Source organism: Homo sapiens, chromosome 5, assembly GCF_000001405.40.
Source record: "Homo sapiens chromosome 5, GRCh38.p14 Primary Assembly".
NCBI lineage: Eukaryota > Metazoa > Chordata > Mammalia > Primates > Hominidae > Homo > Homo sapiens.
In genome coordinates, this window is record NC_000005.10 from 96,736,594 (window position 1) to 96,764,431 (window position 27,838).

The 27,838-nt window shown below is 38.0% G+C and overlaps 2 protein-coding genes across 39 annotated transcripts in view; one reads left to right on the plus strand and one right to left on the minus strand.

Moving 5' to 3' along the window:
• CAST (calpastatin) overlaps positions 1-27,838 on the plus strand; it is an 813,255-nt gene that overhangs the window by 775,165 nt on the left and 10,252 nt on the right. For 17 of the 34 annotated variants that reach the window (NM_001423254.1, NM_001423253.1, NM_001423250.1 and 14 more), the window contains 15 exons: positions 1,256-1,354; positions 3,445-3,525; positions 4,152-4,190; positions 4,673-4,765; positions 4,901-4,987; positions 6,062-6,163; positions 9,749-9,832; positions 10,752-10,799; positions 11,925-12,020; positions 13,994-14,089; positions 17,467-17,568; positions 18,065-18,148; positions 20,851-20,901; positions 20,990-21,061; positions 25,681-25,779. In NM_001423254.1, coding sequence (NP_001410183.1) covers positions 1,256-1,354; positions 3,445-3,525; positions 4,152-4,190; positions 4,673-4,765; positions 4,901-4,987; positions 6,062-6,163; positions 9,749-9,832; positions 10,752-10,799; positions 11,925-12,020; positions 13,994-14,089; positions 17,467-17,568; positions 18,065-18,148; positions 20,851-20,901; positions 20,990-21,061; positions 25,681-25,779 — 1,233 coding nt within the window. Of the gene's footprint in view, positions 1-1,255; positions 1,355-3,444; positions 3,526-4,151; positions 4,191-4,672; positions 4,766-4,900; positions 4,988-6,061; positions 6,164-7,008; positions 7,154-9,748; positions 9,833-10,751; positions 10,800-11,924; positions 12,021-13,993; positions 14,090-17,466; positions 17,569-18,064; positions 18,149-20,850; positions 20,902-20,989; positions 21,062-25,680; positions 25,780-27,838 lie in introns of those variants that run through there. The other 17 variants (NM_001423259.1, NM_001423255.1, NM_001423251.1 and 14 more) reach the window with 2 other exon arrangements.
• ERAP1 (endoplasmic reticulum aminopeptidase 1) overlaps positions 24,220-27,838 on the minus strand; it is a 175,042-nt gene continuing 171,423 nt past the window's right edge. For all 5 annotated transcript variants that reach the window (XM_047417310.1, XM_047417309.1, XM_047417308.1 and 2 more), the window contains one exon: positions 24,220-26,635. In XM_047417310.1, the coding sequence (XP_047273266.1) occupies positions 26,607-26,635 (29 nt within the window). In that variant the 3' untranslated portion in view covers positions 24,220-26,606. The remainder of the gene's footprint in view (positions 26,636-27,838) is intronic.

Sequence of the window (27,838 nt, forward strand, 5' to 3'; positions counted from 1 at the left end):
GTAAGCCTAACAGCCTTCAGATTGTATTTCACATATCCATGATCAGGAGAGTCCTAAAATTGTCATGGGAATATGGTAGTTGCAAAAAAAAAAGACAATTTAAATAATTATTTTTCATCTAAATCAAATAATACAAGGTCCTTTCCTAGATTGTTGTTTTCTCCTTTCAATGCAGGTTATTGTTCATAACGAGTCATCAACATAAAAAATAGATAGAAGCACTCTTATTTATTATTATATTAGTCCATGTTTACACTGTTATAAAGAACTTCCCTGAGACTGGGTAATTTATAAAGAAAAGAGGTTTAATTGACTCACATTTCTGTGTGGCTGGGGAGGCCTCAGGAAACTTACAATCATGCTGGAAAGGGAATCAGACACTTTCTTCACAAGGCAGCAGGAGAGAGAGCATGTGAAGGAGGAACAGTCAAACACTTATAAAACCATCCAATCTCATGAGAACTCACTCACTATCATGAGAACAGCATGAAAATCGCCCCAATGATCCAGTCACCTCCCTTCCTCGACACGTGGGGATTATAGGTCCCTCCCTTGACACATGGGGATTACAATTGGAGTTGAGACTTGGGTGGAGACATGAGCCAAACCATATCAGTTATACTGATTTAAGCCCATATTGGCAGAGTAAACTTGTGAGTTCTTGTAAGTTTAATGTCTCAGGTAATTTCTGTTTTGTAAACCTCTTCAGGCAAGCAAGTGAACAACAACAAAAAAAAACATGAATGAAATAATACAGAGTGATTTCCCTCATGAAATAGATTCTATTTGGAATAGGTACTATATAGAGATTTTTAGGGGTTCTTTGTTTAAAACTCTGGAAAAGTATTGATAAGCAATAAATACCAAGCATTTCCCTTATCGCTTAGAGCAACATGGTTATAATTCCCTGTATTTTGTTTTGTTTTGTTTTGTTTTTCCTTTTTTAACTGTCAGTGCATCGGACTGGCAGCTTTAATGAACTTGTACATTTGTTCATGTATGTAATGCCTGTAGACTTGTTGAAACTGTGCTTCTTGCCTGAATGTGGCTTTTCATCTTTCCAACCTAGAATTTGTACTTTGAGACTTAAATAGTAAAGTCTGTTAAAGACCAGATTTTAACTATTTTGGGGAACTATTTGAAGAACTTTTGGTGTTTGGTGGTTTTTCTACACAGAATGGCTTTTTTTGTAGTTAAACTAAAGGTGAAATATGTATAACAAATAACATTTAAATATCTGTTCTTTCTTTTCCAGTCAGGCATGGATGCTGCTTTGGATGACTTAATAGATACTTTAGGAGGACCTGAAGAAACTGAAGAAGAAAATACAACGTATACTGGACCAGAAGTTTCAGTATGTGATCATGATATCTGTAAAAATTCATACTCAGTGGGTAGGAGAGCAAATAAGGCCATGGTCATGAAGTACAAAAGAATACCTAGTGAGGCCAGGCGCAGTGGCTCACATCTGTAATCCCAGCACTTTGGGAGGCCGAGGCAGGCAGATTTCTTGAAGTCAGGCATTCAAGACCAGCCTGGCCAACATGGTGAAACCCTGTCCTTACTAAAAATACAAAAATTAGCTGGGCATGGTGGTACACGCCTGTAATCCCAGCTACTTGGGAAGCTGAGGCAGGAGAATCACTTGAACCCAGGAGGCAGAGGTTGCAGCGAGCTGAGATCGCACCACTGCACTCCAGTTTGGGCGACAGAGCGAGACTCCATCTCAAAAAAAAGAGTATCTAGTGTTCTGTCATTTGCATAGAAACAGGATGATGTCAGTATCAACATCAACACAGCAACTAAAAATTAGTATCGGGGATGGAAATTGTCTTTTGGCAGCTGCATTATAACATTGAGTTAGCAAACATTTGTTGTTGTGCTAAGATTGACACTGGGACACGGTCCACTGGGTCACACACTTATTTTCCATCCTCAAGATTTAAGTATAATGGACTAGAACTTGTTTTGATTTCTCGATATTTACCACCCTCAGTTTATCCCTATTCCTAATTCCTAAAATTATATTTTCCTTGGTATTAAAAAAAAGACATGCCAGCCAGGCATGGTGGCTCACACCTGTAATCCCAGCACTTTGGGAGGCCGAGGCAGGCGGATCATCTGAGGTCAGGAGTTCAAGACCAGCCTAGCCAACATGGTGAAACCCTGTCTCTACTAAAAATACAAAAAAATTAGTCAGGAATGTTGGCGCATGGCTGTAATCCCAGCTACTCAGGAGGCTGAGGCAGGAGAACTGCTTGAACCCGGGAGGCAGTGGTTGCAGTTAGCTGGGATCATGCCATTGCACTCCAGCCTGGGCAACATGGATGAGACTCCATCTCAAAAAAAAAAAAAAAAAGACACGCCATAGGCTAGACAAAAATATTTGCAACAGACATAACAAAGGGTTTGTTTCTAGAATTTATAAAGAATAAAAAACAGAAAAAGACAACCCAATAGAAAATCGAGAGAAAACTTGACTGACCAATAAGCAAGTAAAATGAAACTCTCCTTAGTAATTAGGATAATGATACTAAAACACAGAAGAAACACTGCTTTGCATTTATCAGATTAGCAAAAGCGTGAAAGTCTGACAATTCCTATAGTTTTCCTATAGCTGGTGGGTGTTCATGATGAACATTCCCTTCAACCAGGAAGTCCACCTGTAGAGAGATTGCCAGGAGGGAGCCTTGCCCATGTGTGCAAGGAGTTATAAGAACTGGTGAAATGTTTGGAAACAATTTTGTTCAATAGAGGACAGGATAATAAAATTCAGTGCTTTATAGTGGTTAAAATGGATTATTCATGTATCAACATGGATACATTACAAAAACATAATTTTGAATAAAAAATGCAGAATGATATGTAGAATATGATACCATTTATATAACATTGGAAAATATGCAAAGTAATGCTGGACGTTGTTTATGGTTACCTACATATGTAAAAAATGTTCTAAAATAACTTTAAATTGATATGCTAAAGTTCAGAATGGTGGCTATTTCTGATTAACAGGGAAAGGGAATTAGGTTTGAGAATGCTAAACAGGAGACATCCACTCTATGATTTTGTTTTCTTAGAAATGACAAAGCTGATAGAGTTGGGTATTGGGTTATACATAAACTCATTATCTTATTAACTGCTCTTTTGTATTGGTTAGAAACCTTAGATAATGAAAACATTTGAAAACAAAATGTATTTAGAAGTCAACTTTAGTATTTTGAATATTTTCTAGCATTACATATGAGTTAAGCCAATTAAATATGGGTATTTGTGTAAACTTAGAAATGTAGTTGTATAAAGTGTTGGCTTCTTAATGATTTATCGTTCATCTCAGTACTTCCATAAATTAATAATGGAATAGTGCTTTAGTTTCAGAATATGCATATAGCATTGTCAGGTAATTAATTATATAATATCCCTATGTGTATGATTTTGTTCCAGGATCCAATGAGTTCCACCTACATAGAGGAATTGGGTAAAAGAGAAGTCACAATTCCTCCAAAATATAGGGAACTATTGGCTGTAAGTTAAATAATCATTTACTTTTATTTCACTGTTTCCTCTTTAGAAAATAATTTCATGTCAATATTTTTACAGTGTTTAGAAGTTAGAAAATATAATGGTGCTTGTGAAATTGTCATTACTATGAAGCTCGCTGCATTGGTTGGCTGGGGCTGCTGTTAAGAAAGTACCACAGATCGGGGCATAAACAAGAGATTGATTGTCTCACAGTTCTGGAGGCTGGAAGTCTAGAATCAAGGTGTCAGCAGTGCTGGTTCCTTCTGAGGGCTGTGAGGGAAAGGTATCTTTGAGGCCTATTCTTGGCTTATAGATGGCCGTCTTCTTCCCGTGTCTCTACACACCGTCTTCCTTCTGTGCTTCTATGCATATCTCTGGGTCCAAATTTCCCCTTTTTATAAGGACGCGCATCATATTGGAGTAGGGCCCACCCTAATGACCTCACCTTTACTTGATTCTATAAGGAACCTATCTCAAAATCAGGTCTCGTTTTGAGGTACTGGGGTTAAGACTTGAACATATAGATCTGGGGTGGGAGGCACAATTCAACCCACAACGGGCAATACATTTTGCCGATCTTAAGGATTAATTCTACCTTCTCAACATCATCAAATTAATATTTGTTTCAGAAAAAGGAAGGGATCACAGGGCCTCCTGCAGACTCTTCGGTGAGTTTACATACATGTCTTCTGATCTAAATTAATAGTTTTATATTTTTGGCTGGGGGAACAGGGCTATCAATTCTATATTTGAGGATTATGACTTAACTCATCTCCAAATCAAATGGAGTTTCTGTGTGTTCAGAGAAAGGGGTTGGTGGGAGGGTTGTCTCAGTGCTCCTGAGTCTCATAAGTAGGTTTTTTGAGGGAAAGGAGAAAGAAGGCGAGAAAGTATTAGGATAGAATATTATGCATGTTCATAATAATAGAATGAGAATGTAACTCCTTTTGAAAGGGGGAAGTGGAAAATAATACTCAATGAGTAGCCACTCTCTTCAAAACATACACTTTGATCTAAGTTGTTTCATTAACACACCTCATTTGGTAGCAAGGGAATTGGAAAAGTGCATTCTTCATTTGCTAGGTTTATGATCCATTCTTCCACTTGAGTGCTTCCCGTAAGTTACCCATCACTGTGCCTGTTTCTTTAGAAACCCATAGGGCCAGATGATGCTATAGACGCCTTGTCATCTGACTTCACCTGTGGGTCGCCTACAGCTGCTGGAAAGAAAACTGAAAAAGAGGTATTGTTTTTAGTGTTGTTAAGGGAAACTTGTTAGGAACTATTTTGAACTTTAAAAGAATAACTTTTTAGTTCAGGCTATTACAGTTAAACTTTCCTCATCTGTAAGTCTAATCTTTTGTATTTTGTTTTTCAGGAATCTACAGAAGTTTTAAAAGCTCAGTCAGCAGGGACAGTCAGAAGTGCTGCTCCACCCCAAGAGAAGAAAAGAAAGGTGGAGAAGGTATAGTCACAGTCTACCTGACAGCAGTTGCTTTCCAGAGCCTGATCTAGCTCATTCAGGAAACTGCCAGTAGCACATAACCCATGATGAGAAGCCATGATTTTTTCCCTCTCAGGTCTATGTGGAATAGTGAAGCCAATGAGGGTTATGTTGATCATCTCCAGGCAAGCCTTGTGTGTTTCTGTAACTGCTTGTGAATGATTTTAGCACAGTTGTCTCAGTCATCATCTAAGACCATCTCACCATTATGATACACAGAAGGGCAGAAACCAGAGAAATTGCACTCTTGGAACATAAAACCTTCAAGTTTGATTGTATAAAGGACTTTGAGCCCTGAGGATCACTAGAGGGACACCAAGTAGCTGGTACTGCCCAGCATTCTCAACTATATTTCACTATGACATAATTCTCACAAATCGCAAAAGGCAATCCTGCAGCTCTGTGCTGGCTGGGAACACATGTCTCCTCTGCAAACAGTCAAGATAATGCTCAGGAACGGTTTCTATCAGAGCAGCTTGTGCCTCTCCCCTCCTGGAGTGGACAGTTTATTTTTATCTGGCAGGCTGGGGAACAGTGGTGAGTACCACACCCCTGAGAGTGGGAGTTCCTACAACGATCAGCCATTGTGCCTTCAGAGAAGAAGGCAGCAGGGGCCACTTCAAGCTTCCCTGCTTCCTAAGCTTAGGTTGTCAGAAGCCTTTTTAGAGATACATTTTTAGAAAAAGAAAAATAGTGTGGTAACAGTTTACTACTTGCTTCTTTTTTTTTTGTTTGTTTAGAGTATTTTATAGTAATATTACTATAGCTTTATGTCTAGCTTACCAAATAAGGGGTGAAGTGTGCCCCAGAGAACGCTGTTACTGTAGAAACGTGTCTTAGCCCCAATTTCCACTCATTGGTAAGTTCTTTTTCCTTTCTCTCTTTTGCAAGGTTTCAAATAAAATTGCCTTTCTAGAGCACTTCCCCAATCCATATTCAGTTTATAATCTAAAATGTATTTTACAAAGAAGTAAATGGATTGTTCGGGCTCCAGAGATGTCTTTTTTCATGCACAGGATTTTTTACTTTTAACAGGATACAATGAGTGATCAAGCACTCGAGGCTCTGTCGGCTTCACTGGGCACCCGGCAAGCAGAACCTGAGCTCGACCTCCGCTCAATTAAGGAAGTCGATGAGGTACTGACCTTAGAGTTGATTTACAAAGCTTGTTAGTCTGCACATTACAAAACCGAATGCACTCTGCATGTTTAGAATTCTCGCACAACTTTTATTGGAGAGTAAAAGTGAGCATTCTTCATTGTGCCTTATTTATTGCTGAGTGGTTAGCAACTAAGGGGGATAGTTACATGACTGACTTGTGAAACAGCTAGAATTTTAACATTTGAAATGAACACGAATCTCCCTTGCTAGAGCTTAAATGACCCTTGACTAAACAAGGTAACAAGGAGGCAATGCCTGGTGGGAAATAGTGAAGTTTGGCAATTGGAAATTTGTATTTTCAGAAGGGTTCTGGGTGCTTCTGTTTATAAGAGAAGGAGATGTCTATACACGGAGTGGGAAGATCCTTCATTTATCACTATGGGGAAAGATGTTGAAAATTTTGTCTCAAATTAAAATCAAGCAACAATTACCCTAACTAGAGCTCCTGCATATTTATAGAATAATGCTGATGAGTGTTTATCCCGCCACACTCCAAGATCTTAACAAGCCTTCTGAACCAAAACAAGCTTACATCTGGTGTACGAAAGTTTTAATATTAAATTATAATTTTTGTGGAATTTTTCAACTCAGTCCTCTGGGGTGAAAGAGGAAGGAAAGGAGAGAGTTGCCGGTTCCTGACAAGGCAGTGTTGTGGGGAGATGGAAAGGTAGCCTGGGATCCCCAGGAGCCCGCCCCACCTCCATCAGCTCAGGCTGGGGGTGCTGGCAGGCATTGCTGTCACAATGCCCCATCTCTGCTGTCACTTCCTGTTCTGAGTCATCAGGGAAGGGGAGTCTCCCTGACTTCCAGCAACAATCCTTGAGTCTGGGACTGCCCTGGCCTAAGATGGGCCAGTTTCTATCTTCGACTTTCTTGGAGGGCTCACCGGCCACAGTGTGGCACGATAAGCTTTGTGACGGTGAACGCAGAGGAGCAAGAGAAGCAGTTCGTATCTTCCAGGACCAAGTAATGTATTGGGAAGAAGGGAAACTTGATTACAACACAATGTGAGATATACATTACTTAGAGTAGCCGACAGAAGCAGTGTCATCTTGAGGAAAGCGGGGTGTTGGCAGAATCCTGGGGGGAGTCAGGAGGCCAAGCTGAGTTGTGGCTTTACCACCTGAGGGCGACAGGGCCACAAGTATATTGCACTTCTGCCCCAAGCTTCTTACAGACACTTAAGGAGAGACAATTAATGTGGGAAGGGAGGGTATAAACATGTCATAAACCTCAGGATCAAAGGAGTCTTAAAAGTGACTAAAAGCAGATAAGCAGATGTTAAGAAAAAAAGTGACATAAAATAAGTTATTTAAACATGTGGGTAACTAGTTTGGGAATGCATATGAATGTATTAAGTTCCCTCTAGAAAACTTCAGAGTCGCAGCAAACTAAAATTCCAGCAAAAAGAACTCCTCTTTTCCACTCTTATGACATAATAGTTGTATTAGTCTGTTCTCATGCTGCTAATAAAGACATACCAGAGACTGGGTAATGTATAAAGGAAAGAAGTTTAATTGACTCACAGTTCCTCATGGCTAGGGAGGCCTCATAATTACGGTGGAAAGTGAATGAGGAGCAAAGTCACGTCTTACATGGAGGAAAGTAAAAGAGCATGTGCAGGGGAACTCCCCTTTATAAAACCATCAGATCTAGTGAGAATTATTCACTATCATGAGAACAGTACAGGAGAGCTCCGCCCCCATGATTCAATTACCTCCCACTGGGTCCCTCCCACGACACGTGGGAATTATGGGAGCTACAATTCAAGATGAGATTTGGGTGGGGACACAGCCAAAGCATATCACTAGTTTTCCTTTTTAATCATATACAAAGTATGAATGTTTCTAAAGAGGATCTTTCAGTCCTCTAGATTATTAACCTGAATTCTTAGTACCCGACTTAGTGGGTCCTTTACATCCTAGATAGTCTGATGTGATGAGAAGGCTCAGGAAGGTCACTGTCAGCCTGTAGGAGTGTCCACTGCCACCCCAGCATACCCCAGAATAGAGAGCTATCTGTGGAAAACCACACAATACTCCAGAGAGGAAACCCATGCCTACTTGGTATTCCCATCATCTACCATAACATAAAATAAAAGTTTTTTATTCTCTAATGATAGCCCATTATAAGTCTCCCACATTTTTAGGTGTGGCTGCCTAGTCTAGTGCCATTTCAATTCAGTAGGCTCTTTTTTTTCGATGCCTACTGTATACAAACCAGAGCAGGCATTTCAAGACTATAAAGATCAAAGAGGAAAATAAAAGCTCTGGCCGCATGTGTAACTTTCACTGTCCACAGCCTGAGATTAGTGGGGAGGACCGTCTTAATACAGGTGACCCTGGATGTTCATGAAGGCCGCTGTGCCTTGACCTGGGGAGTGCTGCTCCATGACAGGATTTCTCCAGATGCCGAAATAGAGCGTGACTGGAAATGTTTAAAAGAAAACCATGACTTCATCCTTTAATGAGAGCTTCTCTATAAAACAGTGAAACTAATCCCAAAGCATAGAACAGTGCCTGGTCCATTAAAAGTGCTCAATAAGTAGTAATTAATCAACTAACCAATCAGTGGGTTTAGTTACATTTAATGTTTAAATGTTTTCATTTGTTTTGTTTTTTATATTTCCTGTAAAACATGACCAGCTGACTTTCTCTATTATTGTGCGTATCCTGTTTAAATGTTACTAATTACAATTGTTTAAGAACCACACTCTTAGGCTAAGATGCAGATGGGGGCCGTGGGTTGGGTTGGAATATGCCAAGTGAACCTCCTACCTTGGTTAGTAAATTAAATCCACACCTTTATATAGGTACAAATTCTTACATATTATGGAACTTCACACTACCCACCAGCAGGTTAAATTGCAAGTGTTGTGTCCTAGCAGTCAGTGATCTACTATAGAACTATGCTTTTATTTGTAATGCAGCTAGTTGTTCATGGTTCAGTAAGCTAGAGAAGTCCTGGCATTATTGAAGAGAGTCCTTTTAAAAGAGGTAAAACAAGTTATCCATGGATCAGCCAAGATTTGTGATGGGCCGCTTCTCCCATATCTGAACTGGGTTTAATGTGAAAATTAGTCGTGTTTCCTCTCCCTTCCTTAGACAGCTGCCTCGTTGAGTAAGACAGATGAAGGCCATTAAAATAATTGCAACTAACTGCTGCACTGTGCTTACTGTCTTCAAAGGATCTTTTATTTACTTTTCTCTGGTGATCTTCACAAGTCAGTGAGCTAGATAAGGGTTATTAGTAGCCACATTTTACAGCTGAAGAAACTGGACCAAATAAAGGCTAAGTGGCTTCCCAAGGTCACAGCAGCTGGGAGCAGAACAGGGCAGTTGCCCAGGATCCCTGGCTGGGCTACTTTTGCTCAGTCACCCACTGCTCCCTTTCTCACAGCTGCCCACCATCGTCTTGTGCTTTGTAGTTTACAAGGCTCTTCCAGATGCTTTTACCAGATTTGGTCTTCTCTATAACACTCGAGAAGTACACAGAGGAAGTGATATCATCTCATTATGTGCATTATCCAACTACTTTTTTTTTCCCCTCCATTTTCATCAGGCAAAAGCTAAAGAAGAAAAACTAGAGAAGTGTGGTGAGGATGATGAAACAATCCCATCTGAGTACAGATTAAAACCAGCCACGGTAAATTTTTAGCCACAGTGCATGACAACAGCATCTTGCCTTTGCATCTTGTTTTGTTGTATCTGTACCCTTGACATTGTCAAAGGACATGTCTGTCCCCCATTCAGATATTAACTCTGAAAACCCTGAACCTTTTTTTCTCTGCTCCCTACAGTTAGACCCCTTGAGGGATGGTTTGTCCCTGCCTGGCTTCCTAAGTAGTGACCATGTGTTCATTTAAATTCCCACAGATTTAAATGTTTCGTTTATTAACAGTTCTTACAATAGATCCCAAAACTCAGAAGGAACAATTTGGGGATAATTTCTTTTCTAACTGCTATATGGATAAAAGCACCATAGGTCTTCTGAGGGGTAGATATGAATGCACGAGGGTTTACCAGTATCCTAAGTGAAGGTGGTTTTGTTGCTGTTGTTTTTGATTATGGTGAGGATGGTAGACTAACTCCTGTCATTACATTTGTCATTTACTTTTGAAATCATGCATATAAACACATGTTGGAATATAGTTACAATTCTAAGTTATGAAACCTCATATCCAAAAAAACTAAACAGTGTTATAGGAATGATATCCACCTCTTCACTCTAGGTTGGAGAATTGGGGTTTTTTAAAAGCTTCGATTAACATAGCTACATCTTTATTGCCAAAGAACTTTTTTTTCCTATTACTCTACCCAACAGATTAAAAACATTTTTAATAACTTAAAGTAAATGTGCATTCTGCTTGGTAACATCTCGATTTTTATAGCTCAACTCCTTTTTTTATACTTTATAAAAAGTAAATCTGAAACACAAACTCATGTAAATCTAAGAAAAAAATTAGCTGACATTTCATATCCTGGAATTCCCAGAAACAAACTTGATGGGACATGAAAGCAAAATTTTCTATTTCATTTCCAATGAATTTTAATTTCATTTACAGGATAAAGATGGAAAACCACTATTGCCAGAGCCTGAAGAAAAACCCAAGGTTAGGAAATACATTTTTTTCTGATACTTAAAGAACAATAGACATGTAAAGTATGAATTAAGATAATTTTGACAGTCTGGAATTCACTGTGCAGACTTGCATGCTAACCTAGTACAGAGGAAAGGGGAACTTCTGATGGTAACACTTGGCTGATACCTGTAGCTCCTTTCCATATATTTTAAAGATGATCTTCCTCATAAATCATTACTAGACTATAAATTTCTAGGTAAAATTTATTGCACACTAGAAACTGATGTCAAGAGGGCCCTTAAGTCAGATTAAGCTAGCACTTAGAGTTCCATCCTGATCAAATTCTCTAATGATTCTATTTTGCCTTAAGTTGGTAGTAACCTGTCACATACAATCAGCAACATTTATTAATCGCTTGCTATGCACCTGGCACTGCACCAAATGCTTTTTGGATATTATCTTTGTGAGTCCTCAATGAATGAGGACGGTACTGTTATTATTCCCATTTTACAGTGAGGAAATTGAGACACAGAGGGCCTATGTAAATAGCCCAAGGTCAAGGGGCTATAAAATAGCAAGCCAAGCCCAGGACTTAGAACTCAGGCTGTCTGGTCTGAGTCCCAGCGTCTGAATCACATGCCCTTCTATCATGTTACTGTTGTTAGTGACAATCTCCACATGCCCTAAACTAATACCACTCTCCTGAAAGAACAAGGGGTAGCAGAACTTTGCTGCCAAAATCCTGCATAATCATAGAAACGGAGTATATCATCCGTGTTTTGACTTATTCAGAAGAGAAGTCATGAGGAAATAGGAAAATAATAATCACATTTAAAAAAATTATACAGATCTTCATTGTAGAGAACAGGCAATTTTATTTGAACAAAATTCTTCTGAAACTGAAACATCAAGGGAATGTTTGACCAAATAAACCATTAATACTTTGGTCCTGAGGTGTTTAGTATTTCTTAATTGTTTCATGAAAATTTTATCTTAACGTTGATAAATGAAAAAATATGCCCTTTATAAATTAGCTTTGGGTGTTAAGTATGGCCTCATATGTGTTAATCAGGAAAAAAATTGCTCCATGAAAACTTTTTTTTTACAAAATAAAAAAGAGTCCCCTTGTAATATACAGCACTTCTTATATTACAGCCTCGGAGTGAATCAGAACTCATTGATGAACTTTCAGAAGATTTTGACCGGTCTGAATGTAAAGAGAAACCATCTAAGCCAACTGAAAAGACAGAAGTATGTTTCTAAACATATAAATCTCTAGTTTTGAGGTTTGTGATCTTAAAAAAAAATTGTGAGACAGACTGTTTTAGCATCAAGCAGTCTGTTAGAAAGCCCAATATGCCATCGTTTTTTCCATGTCATTTTTGTCTTCCTTTTTGGATGTGCTTTCTGCCCCAACCTAACCCTGATATTCTTGCAATTGAAGTCCTGCAATGACTCCTTCGGAAAGCTCTGGAACCCATGCCTTCCTTCTTATCCCAGCTTCTGTAACTGACCTGATTGGAACTGTCACCACCCCTCCCCTCTGGGTTGCAGTGGCCTTTCTGCAGTCTCCTTCATGTCCGCCGGACTCATTCTTTCTCAAGCATGTCTGTAGTTATGTCATTCCTCTGCTTCTATCCCCAGGAGTTTCCCATCCCTACAAAAAAAAGTTCCTATTACCATATTCTTGACCCAGTTTTCTTTCCTACCAAACTGTGTCCCTGTGTCAGTAAACAGAACAATAAGTATGTGTGCATCCCTGGCTTTTCTCACTTGGTTCCTCTGTCTTGATTGACCTTTCTTTCTAATGCTAGATCAACTAAAGTCTTACTCATCTTTTCAAGGCTCTGCTGAAATATGGCTTTATCTGCTGCTTTTCCCTCCCTAAGCTATATCCATCCAACCTTTATTAAGCAGAACACAACATGGCAGAGGATCTGTAGTTCTTTTTTTATATATCACTATTAAAGCCTTTGTTACAAAGAAGAGTTTAGCTGTTTTAGTCCCTCTTTAACTCTAACATTTATGCCAAGTTTAAATGGGTAGTAAGTTCCTTGAACGAAGAGATCATATCCTATTAATGACCATCTGCTGAGCACCTTGCATATAGGATAGGCTTCCATAAAAGTCTAGATTTAAAACAATTTGTTTAAAGGTTTGCTTCTGTTCTTTTTGTTTGTTTGTTTTGTTTTGTTTTTTCTTGAGATAGGGTCTCACTCTCTCTCCCAGCTGGGAGTGTAGTGGCACAGTCTTGGCTCACTCCAGCCTCAATCTTCCAGGCCCAAGCAATTCTCTCGCCTCAGCCTCCTGAGTAGCTGAGACTACAGGTGCATGCCACCATGCCTGGCTAATTTTTGTATTTTCTGCAGAGCTGGGGTTTGGCCATGTTGCCCAGGCTGATTCAAACTCCTGGACTCCAGTGATCCACCCTCCTTGGCCTCCCAAAGTGCTGGGATCACAGGCATGAGCCACCACACCCAGCCTTGAAACTTTATTCTTGTGATAAAATAAGATGGGACAGTGGTTCTCAAACTTTAGCATGCATCAGGATCATCTGGAGAGTTTTTTTTTAAACACAGGCTGCTAGACTCTACCCCCAAAGTTTCTTAGTACATGGGGCAGGGGTCTAAGAATCCGCATTTCTAGGTTCCCTTATGGTGCTGAGGCTGTTAGTTCAGGGATTACACTTCCAAAACTTGTGGCTTATTACTACTACCTTCCATTCCTACATAGCTGTATATAAAGTGCTCTTAGGTTTATATAAATACAATATTTTACATAATGCTATATTACATAATAGGCATATTTGTTATACATAATGACAAATAAATAATAGAAATAATAGCAATAATTGCTCAAATGTATTGAGCTAACTGTGTTCCCAGGTACTATGCATAGCACTTTGCCTGCATTGTCTTATATAGGCCTCTTACCAACCCTTCAGATGTGGATACTGTCATTGTTCTCATTTTACACATGTGGAAACTCAGTTTCACGAGTTTCAGTAACCTGCCTAAGGTGAGAAGTAAAACCAAGTTGAAAAAAATGGCAGCTGAAGAGTTTTAGCATGCTTTGACTTATTTACTATTTAGCAATCCTTAGGTATTCAAGAGAATCATGTTCACACCATATAATGTAGCGGAGTGTCTTGTTGGTCTACCATTACTCAGTCTTATTAACCAAATATTTCTAAACTTATTGAGAGTACTTGTGTCTTTCCTCAGGAATCTAAGGCCGCTGCTCCAGCTCCTGTGTCGGAGGCTGTGTGTCGGACCTCCATGTGTAGTATACAGTCAGCACCCCCTGAGCCGGCTACCTTGGTGAGTGACTCCCTGGGCATTTGAGCAGTGGCTTGAGAAAGTTTTCTGCCTCCTCCTGTCACTCTCTGCTGTGTATTACCATCATTTTATCTTATCCTGACAAATTAAAAATAAAATCTGATATCATTATAGTATCTGTTGTTTCTTTGGGCTTCAGGGGTGTCGTAGAAATTCAGACTAAGATTTAAATTTTTAATTAAATTACTCCCAACTGTATTTTTCTCTACTCTTCTGAAATTCTAGTTCCTCAGCTATTGTGGATAATCCTGCCTTTTCACTTCTCTGCATCTTTTAAGCCTATATGGATTTCCACCGAAAGCCCAAAGTTACTTTTTTACTGACTTTCCTGGTAGAATAACATGCAGTAAAATCATTATGATTCCTCCCCACTCTTCCCACTGCAGGAGGTGAAACTGACTCAATTTCTTTCTCTTTCCTTCTTCTTTTCGTGCTTCTCTCTCACTTTCTAATTTTCACATGAAGTATGATATTTAAGAAGGTGAATCTTTGTTTCCTTTTGATTTTAGTGTTTTTTTTCCATTAGTTAATGATTGAATTTGACTCAGGGAATAACATCTGATGGAATTATATTTCAATTGTATTTCATTACTACAGAATTAGCACATCTTCCCTCTGAACACCTACCTTTCATCATCTGCTGTGCCATTGCTCTAGATGTTTTGCAATGTCTTCTCATTAAATTTTCACAAGGACACTATGAAGTCTGTCCTGATCATCTTCCTGTAATAGATAAGGGAAATGAGGCTTTGAGTTGACCTTGATCCACTTGATATTTCAGAGCCTCAGTTGAGATGAAAGATATGGCCCCTGCTCTCAGCTGTCTTCAAGACTAGTGTGGATATGAGCCCTCCCCAGTTTTTTGGGGTTTCAGGGTACTCTTCAGGTACTTTTTACAGCATGTGTGCTAGGCCACAGTGGTAAAGAACCGGAGAGGAGGAGGGACTCTAGGAGGACTCTGGTGAAGAAAGCAGGCAAAGAGGCTGTGATTGGAGTCAAAACAACAATAGCCAGCATTCCCCAGTAGAACTCTTGTAACCAAAACCTGCACCTGCACCACCTGCCTCATCTGCCAAGTGTGACTGCCCGGGCTTTAGAGGGCTCAATTCCTTTTCAACTTTACCCTGACTGTAGAGCTGAGCATTGGATTGTTAGAAAGCAGACAAACCAGAACAAAACAAAAAGCTCTTGTTTTCCCTTTCCCCGTCCTCCTTTCCAGGGCCTTAACCCCACCAACTCTGGCCATGGTTGCCCAGGTTACTGTCACTGAGGCAGTTGGCATTTCTGGGATTGTGACACCCTCGAACGCCAGAAAGAATAGCTGTAGAGTGTAATAAAGGTCAGAGGACTCAAGAAAGGCATGAAGATTAGAGAGTAAAGGAAGACAGACCAGAGGAAGGAGATGAATGCGTTCCCTAGGTGGTTCTTGTGTGTATAAAAGAAAATTTATTAAGGAAACCCAGAGACCTGAGTTGTAGTTGTGAATTTGATAATATCAAATACTACAGAAATAGAAGTTTTAGTCCTTACTCCTGTTTCCAGATTCCTTTGTTCTTAAGTCTGCTTCTTCTCCTAGGTTTTCTTTAACTGTTTCAGTAATTTCTTAAGCAAGAGGTTGGCAAAGGGCACAGGTTTGGGGAAGCAGTGGTTTCCAAAGATTCTGTAGCATAGAGTATGAGAAAACAGAATTGTAGTGTGAGCAGGTGTCTTAAATCATGTAGCAACTCACATTGCTTGCATAAGACTTGGGTACCAGTGCAACTCTTGATATCCTTGATTAGAGTGTTGCAACTCTTAATACTTAATACTTAATTTAGGTATAATCCCAAACAGGTTAGAAACCTCAGGGATAACCTCAGGGATTTTTTTTTTTTTTTTTTTTTTTTTTTTTTTTGGTAGCTCTTGGGAATAAAACCCATGCAGTATTCAGCCACTAGGTGGTGCTAAATCACTTTTCTTTGGTGATCTTTCCTTTTGCAGTGCAGTTTATCAGAAAAACAGCTTTTCTTACTTGAAATCATGGCTAAAATATAAAACAGAAATACAGTTTTACTCTAAAATTTTAATAGGTGCTCATTGTGAGGTCAGAGATTTTAATAATAAGATTAAACTCTGAGATTGTTTGACCCAAGGCCTTTTACATTTTTGTTTGACCAAGACCAACAGTGGGAAATTCATTGATATTGCAACCCCATCCCCATACACTGGAAGCAACAGTTTAAAGAATAGTATTTATCCCTTCTATGTATGATGCATTTTATACACACACACACACACACACACACACACACTCTTACATTTTTTTTTTTTTGAGGCAGAGTCTCGTTCTGTCATCCAGGTTGGACTGCAATGGCATGATCTCGGCTCACTGCAACCTCAACCTCCTGAGGTCAAGCAATCCTCCCACCTCAGCCTCTTGAGGAGATGGGACTACAGGCATGCACCATCATGCCTGGCTAATTTTTAAAAACTTTTTGTAAAGATGGGATCTCACTGTGTTGCCCCGGCTGGTCTCAAACTCCTGAGCTCAAACAATCTTCCTGCCTTGGCCTCCCAAAATGCTGTGATGGATTACAGGTGTGAGCCACTGTGCCTGGTCCTGTTCTCTTCATTAAAAAAGAAAAGTCCTGGCCATGAACCATTAAGTTGATTCTTATGACCTACTAATGTACAGACGATTCCCTTTATTTTCCCTTGACACCATTCGTCCTCTGTGTTCACCAGTGTGATTTTAAATACCAGCATGGCCAGAGTTCATTACATTTGGGGGAGTACATTTCATTTTGAACAATCGGACCACAGGTAGACAGTTCTCACTGTGCCATTCAGGTTAGTTGGTCACAGGCAGAGTCATCAGAACCAGCCCTGAAACTCCTTTGGTCAGTAGAAGCCCTGTGGAGAAAACAGGCTTCCGAGCCTCCTCTTCTGAGACAAGCCAGGCTGTCCCACAGGAAATGGAGAGGAATGGCCTCTTGTGGGCTCTCTGAAAATCTTTCCTGTGCCGTCTATGGAATGATCTCCATAAAGACCACGTCTTTCTTTTTTCCTGGTATGCAACTTATCTGTGATACACCTCAGTCCATTGTCTTTCTTATTTCTAAACCAACTCTGGGTCAGGTCTCGTAAGTTTCACATTATCAACATATAATTTGCACACAATGTTTAATATAAGAAATTTGCTCGAATGTTAAACGTTTTGTTTTTTAAACATAGATTCTAATTCAGTTGATAACTCGAGTTATTAAAAGATAGCGTGTGCCTTTTATCTGAAATAATGATATGCCTTTCTGAATTGATAGCATATGTTTTAAAGGGAGTGATTAACCACCTACTTAATATATCCACTAATGCACTTTCAGAAGGGCACAGTGCCAGATGATGCTGTAGAAGCCTTGGCTGATAGCCTGGGGAAAAAGGAAGCAGATCCAGAAGATGGAAAACCTGTGATGGATAAAGTCAAGGTAATGGCAACTGAGATGCTTCTGGAAAATAAATATCATTGATCACCTTCTCCCCCTGCAAATAAGTTAGTCATTTGTTTTGTTTTTTATATTTCCTGTAAAACATGACCAGCTGGCTTTTTCTATTATTGTGCATATCCTGTTTAATAAGCTAAACCTGAATAAGCTGCAGTGTTGAACCCCCACAGTGGATGGTCGACATGCACAGACCGGAGGCCTCTGAGTCTCATCTTTGCCCACCTGCATTGACATTGCTGGGACTTGGGAAGGAAGGGGCAGCTGCCTGCTGCTCCTCACAGCTGTCTTGCATCCCAGCAGGCTTTCTGCTGGTGCCTGAGTCTGCCAGATGAAGTTGCTGTAGGAGCACTAAGCATACGGTCATATGTACTTCCTAACCTAATGATAGATTTGTTTACCTCAAATCTAGTCACTCAGGCATGAATTTTATGGAGAGAAAAAAACATGCTAACAATGAAAATGGTATAATTTTTCTCAGGAGAAGGCCAAAGAAGAAGACCGTGAAAAGCTTGGTGAAAAAGAAGAAACAATTCCTCCTGATTATAGATTAGAAGAGGTCAAGGTAAACAGGCTGGAGTCTTTTTCTATTTTATTTTAATTCATACTGAATTCATACACAGAACAAAGGTACTTGGGAACAGAACTGGAATATAAAGATCTTGTTTCTTCATATTTCAAACACCAAATAGTATTAGTCTACTACTAATAGTGTTAGAACACCAGATACAAAGCTAAAATATTCCTAAGTAGACTTGATCCTCAAGTGAAAGAAATCTAATGTCTAAGCTACCTAATGTTTTCCTTTCTAACCCACAGCTTGTTACAATACCAGAAATATTAAAAAACCTTGTGTAGATAGGAGAACTAAAATGAGGAATAGGCCGGGCATGGTGGCTCATGCCTATAATCCCAGAAGTTTAGAAGGCCAAGGCAGGAGCATCTCTTGAGCCCAGGAGTTCAAGACTAGCCTGGGCAACATAATGAGACCCTGTCTCTACAAAAAAATCAAAAAAATTAGGCATGGTGGCATGTGCCTGTAGTCCCAGGTACTTGCGAGGCTGAAGTGGGAGGATCACTTGAGCCCAGGAGGTAGAGGCTGCAGTGAGCCATGATCGTACCACTGCACTCCAGCCAGGGTGACAGAGCGAGACCCTAACTCAAAAAGAAGTAAAAAATGAAAAAAAATAAAATAAGGAACAATTACTTTATATAAGAAAAATTTGCAACTTTCAGATATAAGTTGGAAAAATAAGAGAACCTATTTAACATTGAGTATAGTGTTAAGTTGCCCCATTTCTTCTATTTTGAAAGTACAGATTGTACACAACAAGGGGGAAGACCCCATTATGAGTCCTGTGGTTTAAGTGCAGTCACTTAAATGAGGCGGATTCGTGGACAGTTGAACAATGTCAGTCATCTTTGTAGCAGGCCAGGATTTGAAAGAGTATTCAACTAAACTTCATTAACAATTCTAGAAAATCAAATTCATGCTTCTCACTCATCCATGTGCACTAGCCCATTTATTTAGCAGACACGGGAACTAGACTGAACTATCCGTGATTGAAAGTTTATTATTCTGGAAACCTTTATATTTGCTTCCTGAGTTTTACAATTCAGTTGCAGCCATAGCGTTTCTATTAATTTGGGCTCATTTGTACATTGCTTTGCAAAGTTCCTAGAGAGCATGCTAAGGGCCACATGTTCTGTCTCCACTGAGTGCCCATTCAGTAGAGGCTGGTCAAGTGCAGGTAAACTCTCTTCATGATAGGTGATTGGTTGGTGATTTGCTCTCTCCCTTTACTGAATTTAGTAGTAGTGTTTAAGGAAGCAGTTGATTCACAGTCCCTGATCACTTTATTCTGTAGTCATTTCATCCTCCTCTGACTTACCTCACACGTTATTAGTTACCTATTAATAACATTTTCAGGCACTAGCTTCATCTCATTTAAATCCTATGTTGGTATTCACCAGCTATGTTCCCATCAGGTCTCCTCAGTGAGATTTGGCTCCCCGAGGGCAGGCCACAACCTCCCCTTCCAGACGCAGAATGACGCAGTGATGGAAAATCGATTTCAGTTTGAGTAGGGAGCAAAAGTGCTCCCAGAGTCCCAGGCATCACTTAGGAAATTTTCTGCCTTTACAGCTAAGAGATGGTGGAGAACAAGCCCAGGTTCAGCTTTCCCCTGTACCTGAAGAATGGTCAGAAGGCAAAAGTCAGTCATGAGGGAAACAGGTGATCCAAGTTGAATATCCCTCATCTGACATGCCTGGGGACCAGAACTGTTTCAGATTTCAGACTTTTCTGGATTTTGGAATATTTGCCTCGTATCTGTTGAGCAGCCCTAGTCTGAAAATCCAAAATGCCCCCGTGAGCATTTCCTTTGAGTTGTCAGGTCAGCACTCAAAAAGTTTCAAATTTTGGAGCATTTAAATTGTTTTCAGATTTTCAGATTAGGGATACTCAACTTGTACCTCTAAACCATTGCACTTCACATTTTCAATGAAACAAAAACCAACCTTAACCAGTTTCTCAGGTGAAATATTCATATATATGTATATCTTTGTATTTACTTATTTTTGTGTAGGTGGATAAATGGGATTTACTATTAGTATATAGATCTCCTTTTACTAAAGAGCCCCGCATGCTTTCTTCATTTTGTCGTGTTACTCAAATGTGGCACTTGGAGTCATAAACAGCTTGACCTAATCTGAACCATAAGTTGCAGAGCGTTTCACTGACAGGTTAAACTCCCTGAGGGCAAGGCCTTTGTGCGATTTTCTGTTGTATTGCCAATGCTTACTTAGGTCAGGGCTTGGCATGTAGTCCTTGCATATGAGTTAGATGTGTGGCTTACAAGGTTAACCAGCATTTTCCAGACAACCTCTACAAAGCCCACCCCCATGTAGGTAAAGGGCTTATCCCACACTGTCCTGCAAACCCCAGTCACAGCACCACATACCACACTATGCTGACTTTCACGTTTTCCTGCTGTGATAGTCTCTAGGCTTCTGAGGTCACAAGCCATACCTCATCCAGTGTGCAGCCCCCGTGACTCAGGAATGCCTGGTGCTTGTGAGCTGTTTGTTGCCATGAACTAATTAGAGCATATTCTCTGGTGAGAGAATCCTTCGTGACATGATGGATCTAATTTAAAATGTACAACAGCAAGTATAACCTGTAGACCCTTTGTAATGTTTACAAGGTTTCATACTTTGGATAAAATGTAAAATGATTTCATGCCATGTGTTTTCCCCCCCGGATAGGATAAAGATGGAAAGCCACTCCTGCCAAAAGAGTCTAAGGAACAGCTTCCAGTAAGCAAACCAGTTTTCTCTGAGGATATCTTTTCCTTTTGGCCCTGATTGCAATGGTGTTTGTTGATACATTTCCTGGTTCTTGCAGCCCATGAGTGAAGACTTCCTTCTGGATGCTTTGTCTGAGGACTTCTCTGGTCCACAAAATGCTTCATCTCTTGTAAGTCCAAAACTCTTGGTTTTATTTCTTTAGTTTTTTTTTTTTTTTTCCTTTGAGATGGAGTCTTGCTCTGTCATCCAGGCGGGAGTACAGTGGTGCCATCTTCAGTCACCGCAACCTCCACCTTCCAGATTCAAGCGATTCTCCTGCCCCAGCCTCCTGAGTAGCTGGGACTACAGGGGTGCACCACCACACCCAGCTAATTTTTGTATTTTTAGTAGAGACGGGCTTTCACCATGCTGGCCAGGCTGGTGTCAGTCTCCTAACCTCATGATCCGCCCACCTCGGCCTCTGAAAGTGCTTGGATTACAGGCATGAGCCACCGCGCCTGGCCTATTTCTTTAGTTTTAGAGTGGCAGAAATAAATGGAAACTGGTGACTTAGAATCTGACTTGGGAACTCAGGAACAATCATAAAATTAATGGCCCTCAACCCACTGTAGCCATTAAAAATGTGTTGCACCATGAAATACTGTCCCAACATAGTGGATGCTTTTATTAGTGTAACTAATATCAAGTACCAGTACCCCTATGAAAAGAGAATTTAAATGTAAGCTTATCCAAAATTACTCCTCAGACAACTTTACCTATTGATATTTCTACAATTTATCATTTCCCAAATTGCCTCCTAAGGGAACTTAGCTCCATGTGGAATATAGAGTCCCTCAAAGGGAACTCTGTTACTCGAAAAGTTTGGACAATATTGGGTAATGTTAAGCAGGTTTCTCTACTGTAGGATTTTCATGGCTTTTTATATGCAAATATATAGTGAGTCTGTTAGAGTTCCCAAACTTAATAACTGCAGAACCTTTTCTTGTGGGGTCTGGTTTATCTGTTTACTGGGAACTCAGTTTTTAAACCACTGAATGTATTATTAGCAGTCAGTTGGAAAGGGATTAACAGTTTCTATGACAGTGGCATGGAAAATATATTTATATCAGTTGGAGAATAGACAGAATGACAACTAGAAGAAATAATGATTCTTTGGAATTGCCTGAAGTTGTTACTTTTGCTGAATGAAGCAATAAAGCCCCTCAAAGAAGAGCTTACTAACCAGAGCATGTTATTCTCTGTACCCCTGTAAAAGCACCGTGCTGCTCAGTCACCTCATCCCGTGACCTTCCTCTCATCGTCTTCCATACAGACCACATCACAGCAAAGCACTCCAGCCTTGATTTAGAAACCATAAGACATGGGGAAGAATACAATGTGAGGAGTACGCCAGGAATGTGGAGTCATAGCATTACACTGAGGCAGAACAGATGAACAAATAGTGGGGAACAAGATCTCAATTCCCTTCCTCCTCCTATCATTATTATTATTACAATTGTTAGGGTTGTTTTTTCTTTTAGAAATTCAAAGATTTGGAAAAAGTAACAATGGATTTATATGCCCCCTTCAAAGATATGTAGCAGTGAAATGGTGAGATGAAACAACCTTTAAAAAAAATCTTACTCTTAGAAAATTAGCAAAGGAAACATTAGTGCCAACAATATAGTTAATAAAGTAGAAATAACTAATCATCATGAGAACCAAATAATCAAAATAGTTATTTAGTGGAAAGTTTCAAGAAATTTGGGGGAGAAGTATCACATATGGCTCATAATTAGTGTTCATCTGTAAAAGAGTAGCTCCTGTACGTACCATGCTCTTTGATATAATAGAACAGAAATGCTATATAAAAAGAAACACTTAAAACTATTCCCCTAATAATACTGAGATCACATTGATAATAGACTATTTTAAAACATCAAAGATATTACAAGAAAAAGTCTTTGAGAAGCAGTCAAAGCAGTATTCCTGTGATACATTGTCATAAACACCTTTATCAATAGTAGAGAAAGAGAAAAAGAGAAACCTGATAAACTAAATGCTTATTGAATTTTAAACTGAAATTTCTAAAAGTTTTAATAAGGTAGCCACCAAAAACAAAGTAGCAATAAGCATACCAGGAAATGAAAATAGCGGCATGAAAGTTAACTGGCCAATAGTTGTTTCTTTTGAAATAACAAATACTTTATAAAATACTAGCAAATATAAAAGAGGAAAAAAAACCTTACAAAAAATACAATTAAATTTTAACAGAGTAATATAATAATATAGAGATCAACTAAATTATTGGTAGTTTAAAGCCAATAGTCAGTTGGCTTTTATGAATTTTTAACATTTTACAAAACTGATAAATAGAGAAAATAATCTTACTAATAAAATTTAACATAAATGTGAGAAAATACAATAATCAGTACAGAGCACAAATAAATTATTAGGAAACACTATGTACAACAATTTTCTAAGATTAAACAAAAATATTAAACTGCGTAATTCACAAAACCTAAAAAAAGACTGAAGAAAATATTGCAATGATTTTCAAACTGTCCTTCTACTGAAGGTTTAAAGATGACTCTAACTGTTGAACACTCAGTTCTTATGTGGCATAAATATGTCATGAAAAAGATGGGGTCACATAGTTGCTTCTATGAGTAATTATGGTGCTAATCTTAAAATCTGACAAATATAACGGTATCAGCTAAAGTTACTTAAATGTGTAGATGTAAAAATTACATACAGCATACATAGAATATAACAAACAGTTAAATTATTTGCCATTATAAGTATTGATTCAGTAGCAGGAAAACTGTCAATATATTGTAGTGGTATATCAAATAGAAACAAATAATCATGTCCATGTAAAAGATCTATTTAAAATTTTACATATACTCATATTATAAATAAAAACTTTTTAAAAAGTAGGCAATCCCCTAATCTGTTAAAGAGTCTTTAGTTTTCAGAATCAAATATTCAATATCATGCTGGAGGCATTTTCCTTAAAAGCAGAAACTATGAAAAGTTTATTGTCATTTCTGCTTATTATCACATGGAAGAATCATTAACAACACATGAAAAAAATGACAAACATTAAAAGGGAACATTTGAATATATTTGTGGATAGCACTACTTGTAGATAATACATTTGTAAGTAACATTATGCCATGTTTATTAGTAACAACAGATGAGAAAATGTAATTAATATGAGATCAGACTTAATGTAAACTATAAAAGGAGAAATGATCAGAAAAATAAGGACACAAAAAAATTGAAGGCCATACATTAAGTCAGTTTAACTAAATATCTTAAAAAGAATGATGACAATTCAAGTCATTTTATGTGTTAATTTTTTATTAAATAGCAATAAGATACTTTTATAACTCAATAAAATTATTCAATGATACATTCGGAAAATAAATGTATAAAATATGAAAAAGTACTAAAAAGCATTTTTCAGTACTTTTAGGTAAGATTAATCCAACTAAACACTAGCATATGTTATACAGTAATAATAAGTGGAAAATACAATAATGTTGAGAAAGCAAACTCAAAGCATAGATCAATGAAAAAATTGAGAAATGGACATAAATGATTTAGTATTTTTAAAGAGAGTGAAAAATCATTATTTTATGCTTTTGTGTAGCATTAGATGAATTAAATAACATATGCACATATAGCTTTGCGATACAAATTTCCAGACCATAGGTTGTTTCATACTTAGTATTAAAAGGCTTAAATAATAAGTCAATAAGATAGTTTAAGAAGAGACAATACAAATGTTTCAATGTCATTCTTTTCATTTGACAACTTGTTATTCTTTTCATTTGTCATATAAGCAAAGATTTCTCATAACTAAAAATGAATTTAATTTAGTACATTTTGGATTACCTAAAATATTACATTCTAAAACGGCTTTACAGGGTATAAATGGACAATAAGTATCTTATAGTTATCTAAATTAGTTTAAATAATTTCCAATAATAACATGCTGAAATGAATTTCTGAATGTTGGTATCTTTTTAATGTGCTTTTCTCCATCTTTTGGTAAAATTTGCAATTCTCCTTTTTCAAAATAAGCTATCCATAGTTGGAGTCACCAAAGAGTTCTGGACTTTTTTCTGGTTTTTCATCAACAGTTATACCTAAGTTTTTTTGTCAAAAGGGAGTATTTGAAATGAAGCAAATATTCAATATTTTTAAACAGAAATTATTTCAGAAAGTTTCTAGAATATTTAACGTTGAAAAAAAACCCTGAAACCTGACACCGTATACCACAATATACAAGCAATAGTAGTATATCATTTTACACTGATTATCATAATAAAAGTCAAATTCTGGCAAGCAAGGCCATGGGAAAACAGGCATGCTTATTCATTGCTTTTCGCAGTATGAATTCCTAGCAACATTTGAGAGGGCAGTTTAGCAAAATATAGCCAGCACCATAACTCACTCACTAGAACTTATTCAGAGCAATTTTAAAAGAGCTGAAAACTTTGAATAACCTAAATGTACAACAGGAAATGTGTAAACAAACCGTGGAACTCTAAGTTATATTATTGCATAGTATTTAGAATAATCAATATGAGAAGGAAATAGAAATAGCAAATTGTATAAAATAATACAATAGAGAAGAAAGAATTTAAATTTCTTTTAAAATTATATGTTATTATGAGTCTATTTGGTCAAGAGAATAAACAGTCATTAAGCTATCTTTAAGAGTTATAGTTAAGTGATGGCATTGTGCTCATAATTTTATATACAACATGTTACTAATAAAATTTTTTTCAATAAAAGAAATTTGAAGATGCTAAACTTGCTGCTGCCATCTCTGAAGTGGTTTCCCAAACCCCAGCTTCAACGACCCAAGCTGGAGCCCCACCCCGTGATACCTCGGTAAGCAGCACATCTTATTTGGGAGATAAATGTTTTTGCGCAGCCACAACTAGAAAGAAAATAGGGCGCCTGTTTAAAGCAAATGAAAATAGGCAGAATTATTAGGAAGATCAGGCACCTTCTATTTCAGAAGAGCCGAGACTGATGATTTAGCGAGATGGCAGAGATTAACTTTGAAATGATTAAATGAAACTATATATGTGAAAACATTGTACACATAGTCAAGGACCTTAATATTATTGTTGCTTTATAAGAATTGAAAGTGCAATAAAGTGCATTGTGTCTATATTCAAATTACTAGATTTGAAAAGTTCTTTAGCTTTCCTGATAATTGATTTTCTCCTTTATATTTTTTCTTATACATTCTATAATTTACTACCCATTATTTAACCTCAAGTTTATTTTATGGAATCGTCATGTTTGAGCTTTTACAAACATTTTACAAACGTCATGGAATAGCATTGTTTTCTTCCCAATTCACACCAGTAAAAATTTGTCACTTTCATACTAGCAGTAGAAGAACCTCAGCATCAATATTGTTTTAATTATTTACATGCTGTGAGGCAAGGCTGTGGGACCAAAGCTTTTCCAGACTTCCTTGACTAATCACCTGTGCAATACCAAATTATACATTACCAAGGAGACCACAGCACATCAAATTATAAAGGGATTGCCCTAAACCAGATCCCCATCTCCTTTGGTTGAGAACAGTGCCTCATTTGCTAGATGGAGATGAAGTAACTTTAGCGAAGTCAGCTATGCTTCCATTCCGTTTGATGTAGCATCAAAGCATATTTAGTGCTGTAGTCTGAGATTCTGATGGATTTTCATCCTGTTGCGTCAGCTTCAGGATCATCTGAAAATATCCAGAGGCACAAATGACAAAGCCCAGACCTGGCCCCGGGCAGCTCTACCATTAGCAGCTATAATCCTGGATTATAATAAAGCACTTAAAACCAGTAAAATGCCCCGTGTGTGTGTATGTGCATGTGCATGTGCATGTGTGTATGTAAACACACCCACAATGAAGAAAGTCCCCATGCAACAGAAAGGAAGAATCATTAATAGCCTAGGCTGCCGTTTACACTTCAGTTCTTAATATTCAGGCCAGAGATTCTGCCCTGATGAAGGCTATCAGTAAACATTTGCAATCAAAAACTTTTTTGCCTTTAAGAAGTAGGTTTTACAATGACACTTCTCTGATCACATTTCCCATCAGAGAGGCTTGTTTTTAGTTAACATTTTATTTGAAGATGTCACTAAAACAAGGTATAAAGCTTTATTTAGATAAAAATATTAGGAAATCGAAGAGTCAAATAAACCATGATAATTCACGGGAGCTTTCTTTGCTGTGATTATTAGATTGTTACTAACAGTGTTACATACACTGAAAGCATTTGAAGACATGATTTCAAAGATCTGTGTAATAAAATCACTCCAACAGGAAAACTGCTTCAAAGAAAATAGAAGATCATGGATGTGACTAAGCATGACAGGGAAAAGCTTTATCAGTCCCAAGACCTGGGTTCTATTCACTTTTTAACAATTTGTTTTCAAGCAACTGACTTAGCTTCCCTGAGCTTTTTACCTCAAAAAAAAAAAGCCTGCTTAGTTCACTGAGAACCATTGTGGGCATCAAATAAAACTGGATAGTGTATGTGAAAACATTTTGAAAATCAACTGGAAAGTTCTATACAGTATTGGACAGAGTTCAGCATGGTGTCTTATACAATGTAGATATTAAACACATTTTAATTGAATTCATTTAGAGGTGGAATTTTGAATGCAATGTGTTGAAAAATATGGATTTTGCTATAATAATACTAATAATAATTTACCATTTGTTGGGTCCTAACATACAACTAGTATTGTTTTAAATGCCTTTTCAATCATTTACTTTTCTCAGCAACTTAGGAGTATAAGTACTACTATTATTCACATTTCACGGCCAAGGAAACTGAAGCTGAAAGGGGTTAAATAAGCTGCCTGAATCATACAGTAAATAAATGTTAGAGGAAATAAGCTATCTTAGTTACAGTGATATTGTTGTCCATAATTT